Consider the following 9,147-nt stretch of genomic DNA (forward strand, 5'->3'; position numbering starts at 1 on the left):
TAAATATGTTTTTGTTGTTGATTGATACTATAATAATATGACAGAACTTTCCTTTTATTTTTAGCTTACTGAATAGTTTTTGTTGTAACCTTAATAAAAAGTGGATGTTAAATTTTTATCAAATATATTTCCAGCATATATGGAGATAATTACACATTTTCTCTATTAATATAAAATAGCAAATTGCATGAATATATTTCTTAATGTTGAATTATTTCCTTGTATTATAAAATATATTCCACTTGACCTTATGCTCTATTGTTAAGTCAATATTCAATGTTTACAGTATTTGGCCTATGGAACTATTTTTCACAGCTGATAATTTTAGTTTATTATGAATATTTTTGTTCCCCCCTTTTATTTATCTTCATGCTTTTTCTTATTGTGTACTTCTATTGCTATTTCCTCTGCACACCCCCAATCATTCAACAGCCTTTAAGTACACTTTTCAATAAGGTCAATCACATCAGCTAAACAGACATTTCAATTATTTTCTTGGAAACAGTCTCTTGGAAAGCCCCTTTCTGAGGGTCTGGACTGATTGCATTCTAGGCCAGAAATGGAGCTGTCATTCTAGGACTTTCCTTTTCTGTTATGCTTTGAATTCCCTCTGCCTCTCTTCTGGCTTGGATCTGTTGCTTCTGGCCCCATCCTCTTATCTGATGTTTTGCCTTGTTTTGTCCTAGCGAATCATGAGGTCAGGTTCAAGGGACAAAGGCAGAGGCATGCACAGGGGAGCCCTCAGCAAGTCACATGGCTCCAATGTGAGCTGAATGTGCCCTATTTTCTGGAGCCTATTTATCATCCTGGCATCTCTCTTCAACATAAGATGATTCCTATTCCCATAGCCTTCTCTTTAATTTGATTTACTCTCTCAGGTTTGGGGAATACATTCCCCAGGAGCTTGCTGAGAAAAAAGATGCATGGGAATTTTTTTTTGAGACAGTTTATACTTTAATATGTTTTTATTCTATCCTCATATTTAACTGACATTTCAATAGGGCCTAGGTTGGAAACATTTTCTTTCAGAATGTTGGAGGTGTTTCTTTTCCATTAAGGAAATTGAAGCCATTTTAATTTCTATCCATTTTGCTGAGAATCTTGCAGAAGGCCTCACTTTGAATTGCCTTCAGTTTAGTGAATTTTTGAGTTATTCATTGTTGATTTTTGTCCCTCCATTTTCTTTATCTTTCTGGAATTTCTGTTATTTGGATGTTGGTCCTCCTGGACTAACCCATTGATACTGCCTTTTTTCTGTTCTCATAGCCATCTCTTTGCCTTTCTGTTCTAATTTCGGTGAGACTTCCTCAACTTTATTTTCTGAAATGTCTATTTCATTTATCTTATGATGTTTTAAAATCTGATCTCCTTTTTTCTCCTGGATGTCCTCATCATAGTTCTTTTCATAGTTGCAATGCAATCTTTTACTGTCAGGATTTTTATTATAATTTCTTGTAAAATTTCTTCTCTCTGTATATTTATTACTAACAAATCATGTCTTCTGTTTTGGTTTCTCTTTCCATATTAAATAATTGTTTGGGGTGTTTGGCAATCTTTAGTTGTTCATTTTGTTTATGATTAAGGAGATTAAAAGTTTATTTTAATCATTCTGAGCAAGTGTGTGGGACTTTTTGACTTTGAACTTCACTTGAAGGTTATCTTAAGTAACATGCTTTTGAGGACCCTTGGGCTGCTCATAAGCACTTGAAAATATTCCTTCAACGTCCTCTCTCAAGAGTAAAGGTAATGGTCATTTAATAAAGGCTTCAGTACTCAGCATTCATTGCGTGTGTAAACACTAGTCTTTTTATTTTCAGTACATTTCCTATATGGTCAGTCCCCCATGATGTCACACTGGGCCCTATGCTGGGAAGGGCCTCATGCTTAATTTCATTATCTGCTACTGCCATCTTGAAATTGTTAGTAATTTTTGAATGATGGACTCACATTTTAATTTTGCACTGGGTTCCACAAATTATGTATCCAGTCCTGGGTACCCGTATCATCAAGTCTGAAGTTCTAAGACTAAAGACCCTTGGTTTTACCCTCTCCAGTTTTCTCTGAGGGTGGGAGAGGAATATTTGTCCAACAGCATAAAATGAAGGTAGGGACTCCACTGTTTGTAATTTGAACTTCACACAATTTTCCTTATTCTAGCACTGAATTTCACTCTTCTTTCCTCGCCTTTCCAATAAGGCGGCTGTGCCTAAATCTAGCTTTCCATGGATACCAAGGTCACAACCTGGATAGTTTTCTCTACCACTCCAAAATGTGGCTGGTGGCTGAAATCCAGACTGCCTGCTGGTAAGCCATCTTTGATTCTCCTGTGAAAAATGTTCATCTCTATCAACCGTGGGATGGGGTCCTTGAATGGTGACCCCACACTGGGTGTCTAATAGAGCACTTTGACTTTCCATGCCTCTTTGTGTAATCAAGGGAGGCATTGGGAAATGCATGCTTTTCTTTTTTGTGAACACATACCTTGTAAGTTTTGCCATTAAAATCTGTTCATTAACTCATTAGAGTGACTTGGTAATGTCCTTCCTGAGCTGCGCTTTACAATAAGACACAGCTCCAAATGGATTCATTTTGCACATTTTAGTCAAGGAAAAAATATTACTTTCATATAATATATAACAATAGTAACAACACCAACAACAATCTTTACAACAAATATTCACATATTTTATTTTACAGTTTGTAGCACTGCCAAAACTTTTCTTTTGAACTGTACAACACCAGCAGACTGTATTATTTACCTACTTTACAGGAAAGGAAACTCCTGTAAAGTAAGTAAATGGTTAAGTGATTATTCTCGGTTTCACAAAAGAGTAAGTGATAGTGCTGAGTCTCAAAACTGCTGCCTCCAAACATCCTCTTACCAGTGTGAATATGCAAAGCTGTCTCATCTCCAGGCAGAAGTTTTTCTGTTTTTGTTTTTCATGACCTCTTTACTTTTGCTAATTTTCTTCATTGAGGGAAGCTAATCTATCTGCCTTTCCCTTTTGGTTATCAGTTTCCATAAATAACTATGCCTGGGTTTATTACTTAACCACTTTGTTTAGCAACCATTAATTGTCCAGAATAAAAACAAAGCTGCTTTGTATCAGAACCTAGAACAATGTTGCTATTTATTTCTTTATTTTGCCACATCTTCAAGAAGACATATAGAGCACCCACCATGCTGGTAAAACTAAAGTATGTTTTCTCTGCAACAGTTAATGAAACAGAAATGAGGATATTAGTAACACTATAAATGGATAAATATCTAATTTTAGAGTGTGTTACTCTGTTCTCCGGCTGCTAATAGAGACACACCCGAGACTGGGTAATTTACAAAGAAAAGAAGTTTAATGGACTCACAGTTCCACATGGCTGGAGGCATCACAATCATGTTGGAATACGAAGGAAGAGCAAAGGGAAGTCTTACATGGAGGCAGGCAAGAGAGCATGTGCAGGGAACTCCCCTTTATAAAACCATCAGGTTTCATGAGACTTATTTACTGTCACAAGAACAGCATGGGAAAGACTCGCCCCCATGATTCAGTTACCTCCCAGGGGGTCCCTTCCATGACACGTGAAAATTATGAGAGCTACAATTCAAAATGAGATTTGGGTGGGGACACAGCCAAACCATATCATTCCACCCTTGGCCCCTCTCAAACCTCATGCCCTCACATTTCAAAACCAATCATGTCTTCCCAACAGTCCCCCAGTTTTAACTCATTTCAGCATTAACTCGAAAGTCCACAGTTTAAAGTCTCATCTGAGATAAGGCAAGTCCCTTCCACCTATGAGCCTGTAAAATCAAAAGGGAGTTAGTTACTTCCTAGATACAATGGGGGTGTAGGCATTGGGTAAATACACCTGTTCCAAATGGGAGAAATTGGCCAAAATGAAGAGGCTACAGGCCCCATGCAAGACAAAATTGCAACAGGGCAGTCAAATCTTAAAGCTCTGAAATGATCTCCTTTGACTCCTGACCTCTTACATCCAGGTCACACTGATGCAAGAGGTGGGTTCCCATGGTCTTGGGCAGCTCTGCCCCTGTGGCTTTGCAAGGTATAGCCCCACTCCTGGCTGCTTTCACGGGCTGGTGTTGAGTGTCTGTGGCTTTTCCAGAAACATGGTGCAAAGCTGTCAGTGGATCTACCATTCTGGGGTCTGGAGGACGCTGGCCTTCTTCTTACGGTTCCACCAGGCAGTGTCCCAGCAGGGACTCTGTGGGGGCTTCAACCCCACATTTTCCTTCCACACTGCCCTAGCAGAGGTTCTCCATGAGGGCTCCTACCTGCCACAAACTTCTGCGTGTAAACGCAGGCGTTCCCATACATCCTCTGGAATCTAGGCAGAGGTTCCCAAACCTCAGTTCTTGAATCTGTGCACCTGCAGGCTCAACACCACATGGAAGCTGCCAAGGCTTAGGGCTTGCACCCTCTGAAGCCATAGCCCAAGCTGTACCTTGGCCTGTTTTAGACATGGCTGGAGCAGCTGGGATGCAGGACACCAAGTTCCCAGGCTGCACAGAGAAGGGGTCCCTTGACTCAGCCCACGAAACCATTTTTTCTTCCTTGGCCTCCAGTCCTGTGATGGGAGGGGCTGCTGGGATGGTCTCTGACATGCTCTGGAGACATTTTGTCCATTGTCTTGGTGATTAACATTTGGCTTCCCATTACTTATGCAAGTTTTTGCAGCTGGCTTGAAATTCTCCTCAGAAAATGTTTTTGTTTGTTTGTTTGTTTGTTTTTCTACTGCATCATCAGGCTGCAAATTTTCCAAACTTTTATGTTCTGCTTCCCTTTTAAACATGTTTCAATTCCAAACCATATCTTTGTAAATACATAAAGCTGAATGCTTTTAATAACATCCAAGTCACCTCTTGAATGCTTTGCTGCTTAGAAATTTCTTCTGCCAGATCCCCTAAATCATCTTTTTCAAGTTCAAGGGCCCACAAATATCTAGGGAAGGGGCAAAATGTTGCCAGTCTCTTTGCTAAAGTACAGCAAGAGTCACCTGTACTCCAGTTCCTAACAAATTCCTCATCTCCATCTGAGACCACCTTAGCCTGGACATTATTGTTCATATCACTATTAGCATTTTGATCAAAGCCATTGAACAAATCTCTAGGAAATTCCAAACTTTCCCACAGTTTCCTGTCTTCTGTGTCCTGCAAGTCTCTAGGAAGTTCCAAACTTTGCCATGTTTTCCTGTCTTCTTCTGAGCCCTCCAAACTGTTCCAACCTTTTCCTGTTACCCAGTTCCAAAGGCACTTCCACATTTTTGGTATCTTTACAACAGCATCCCACTCTACTGGTACCAATTTATTGTATTAGTCTGTTCTCATGCTTCTGATAAAGATACCTAAGACTGGGTGATTTATAAAGGAAAGAATTTTAATGGACTCACAGTTCCACATAGCTGGAGAGGCCTCACAATCATGGCAGAAAATGAAGAAAGAGCAAAGGGATGTCTTACATGGCAGTGGGCAACAGAGTGTGTGCTGGGGAATTTCCTTTTGTAAAACCATCAGATTTCATGAGACTTATTCACTTTCATGAGAACAACATGGGAAAGACCCACCCCCATGATTTAATTACCTCCCACTGGGTCCCTCCCATGATGTGGGAATTATGGGAGCTACAATTCAAGATGAGATATGGGTGAGGACACAGCCAAACTATATTATAGAGACTAGTTACTTTTATATAACTTTTTTTTTTTTGAGTCAGAATCTTTATCTGTCACCCAGGCTAGTGTGCAGTGGTGTTCACTGAAACCCCCACCTCCCAGGTTCAAATGATTCTCATGTCTCAAACTCCCTAGTAGCTGGGACTACAGGCATGCACTGCCACACCCAGCTAATTTTTGTATTTTTAGTAGAGACAGGGTTTCACCATGTTGGCCAGGCTGGACTCAAACTCCTGACCTCAGGTGACCCACCTGCCTCAGCCTCCCAAAGTGCTGGGATTACAGGTGTGAGCCACCACACCTGGCCAAGTTTTATATAACTTTTAAAATTTATTCCTTTAAATGTTTAAATAAAACAGTTAAAATGCCATGTAACATAATATATTGACTCTATTTGGAGATAAAACTGCATAAATTCAAACACTTGAATACAAATTAAGACTTTTACATCATTATTGTGAAAAATGTCCTTCCTCATCCCTTCCCCACTCCCTCCTTGTAAAGCTTGAGATAAAATTTCATGTATAAGGACTTTTATATCTCTGATTTCACCTTATATAAATTGCTTTGTCTCTAAAATGCAAACACAAACTGATTCTCGTTAGATTCAGTTCAGCTATGAAACCTTTACTTCCATCAGGCTAAATATTCAGATTACTTAATTTTCCTTTTCTGTTTGTGTGTTTGGTTAGCCACCCTTCCACATAGCTTTAATTAGACATTGTCACTTCTTTGAGGCAGTTTGAAATAAGAGAAACAGTACAGAATATTTAAAAATAATACATGAGTAATTCATTTAAATGACTGGATTACTTTATTGACAAAAATGTGGAAGCAATGTGAAATTCTGAAATAAAGGATGGTTAAATTTGAAAGGAAAGTGAGTCATAATTATCAGATTAAGTTTGCAAATGCATCAAAGATTCAAACATAAGAAGACAAAGCAAAAAAATACTAGAAGAAAACATAAGATATCTTTATTTTTTATATTTTTTAAACAAAAGCATAAGATTTTTTTTTAAGACTGGTTAATCTAAAAACCAAAATGATTTTTGGTTATAAACAATGTCACAAGACAAAAGGCAAATTGGGAAATGTTACTATGGAACACTAAATAGACAATGGAAATCAATGACCTGAACAGCTAGTTCATTAAAAAAGAAATACATATGCTATTATGTGCATTTGTCCTATTTTTATATTTGGGAAATTAACTGAATTATGTGTTATGTCTTCCCACCCATGTATAACACAACTATGTAAGCTAGCCTCTGACAGTCACACAAGCACCCATTTAACACCCTGATTCATCAGTTAACATGAAGAGAAAATGGGCTCTGAGGATTTTCCAGTTTTGCTAATATAGATGATAATAAAGGCCTCTGATTTTTGCGAGTTGCAGTGATTTCAAGGTTCACTTCCTGATACAAAAAGGCATTGGTGCTTGCTGTAGGATAATTTTTTAATTTTTATTTTTATTTTATTTTTTTGTGATGGAGTCTCACTCTGTTGCCAGGATGGAGTGCAGTGGCATGATCTCGGCTCACTACAACCTCTGCCTCCTGGGTTCAAGCAATTATCCTGCCTCAGCCTCCAGAGTAGCTGGGACTACAGGTGTGTGCCACCATGCCCAGCTAATTTTTGTATTTTTAGTAGAGATGGGGTTTCACCATGTTGGCCAGGATGGTATCAATCTCTTAACATCGTGATCCTCCCACCTTGGCCTCCTAAAGTGCTGGGATTACAGGCATGAGCCAATGCACCCAGCTGATAATTTTAATATTTTGGATTCCTGGCATCTTATGCTTGGTGGAGGCAATGGCTACAGAGGCAATATACTCTTTAGGTCAGTTTTTCATTTGTTTGTTTGTTTTTTAAAATGTAGTTTTACAATGTTGATCTTGGCTGGGTAGAATTGTGCTCTTCTCTAGCCCATAGGATGATTTGTTTTCTTGTCTGGCTAAACTTGCCAGAATGGATTCTTTTCTTTTCTATTAACAGTCACAAGTGACATGGTAATATGTAGGTACTCAAAGAAAAAGGACATCCAAAAAATTAAAAAGTGGGATTATTCCAGGGGCATAGTGGAATTTCTTCATCAAGGAGAAAGGCTGGGAAGATACAGCAAATGGCATTTGAAAGCATGTAATGACCAGGCAACTGATTCAAATATCATTTAGAATGAAGTGTCATTGATGGGAAGGCCTTAGATATCAAGTGTTGCTAAGTGTGGAATTTGCTAAGCTTGAGAATTCAAGGACTGTGAGATTGTCTGCTTATTTCCAACTGTGCTGGAGAGCCTAAAGAAAGAGAATGATCATGTAAAGTTCTGAAATCTTGGCTGAAGTCAGTGTTAGAAAAGCAAAAGTTTCTATTTAATGCAAAATAATACTTCATCATTTGCAGCTTCAAAACTTAAAGTAACTAAAAATCAAACTAAAATGTTTAACTTTGGAGTTTTTGCATTATAGAGAGTTGAATTTGAATACTCTGTAGTTCTCTTATGTGAAAGGAAATGTATTTACTGAAAGAGAGTTGGGCTGTGAAAATTAGAATGGGGGCATATGGGAGGTGGCTCCAAGACGGCTGAATAGGAACAGCTTTAGTCTACAGCCCCCAGCTTGAACAATGCAGAAGACAGGTGATTTCTGCATTTCCAACTGAGGTACCAGGTTCATGTCACTGGGGCTCATTCAACTGTCGGGGCAGGACAGTGGGTGCAGCCCATCGAGTGTGAGCCAAAGCAGGACGAGACATTGCCTCATCTGGGAAGTGCAAGCGGTCAGGGAATTCCCTTTCCTAGCCAAGGGAGGGAGTGACAGAAGGCACCTGGAAAATCGGGTCACTCCCAACTTAATACTGTGCTTTTCCAGCAGTCTTAGCAAATGGCACACCAGGAGATTATATCCTGCACCTGGCTCAGAGGGTCCCATGCCCATGGTGCCTCACTCATTGCTAGCACTGCAGTCTGAGATCGAACTGCAAAGTGGCAGTGAGGCTGGGGGAGGGGTGCCCACCATTGCTGAGGCTTGAATAGGTAAATAAAGTGGTGGGGAAGCTTGAACTGGGTGGAACCCACCACAGCTCAAGGAGGCCTGCCTGCCTCTGTAGACTCCACCTCTGGGGGCAGGGCATAGACGAACAAAAGGCAGCAGAAACCTCTGCAGACTTAAATGTCCCTGTCTGATAGCTTTGAAGAGAGTAGTGGTTCTCCCAGCACAGAGTTTGAGACCTGAGAATGGACAGACTGCCTCCTCAATGGGTCCCTGACCCCTGAGTAGCCTAACTGGGAGGCACCACCCAGTAGGGGCAGATTGACACCTCACACAGCCGGGTACCCCTCTGAGATGAAGCTTCCAGAGGAACGATCAGGCAGCAACATTTGCTGTTCAGGAATATTCGCTGTTCTACAGCCTCCACTGCTGATACCCAGGCAAACAGGGTCTGGAGTAGACCTCC

This window comes from Homo sapiens, chromosome 1, assembly GCF_000001405.40.
Source record: "Homo sapiens chromosome 1, GRCh38.p14 Primary Assembly".
NCBI classification, from domain to species: Eukaryota; Metazoa; Chordata; class Mammalia; order Primates; family Hominidae; genus Homo; species Homo sapiens.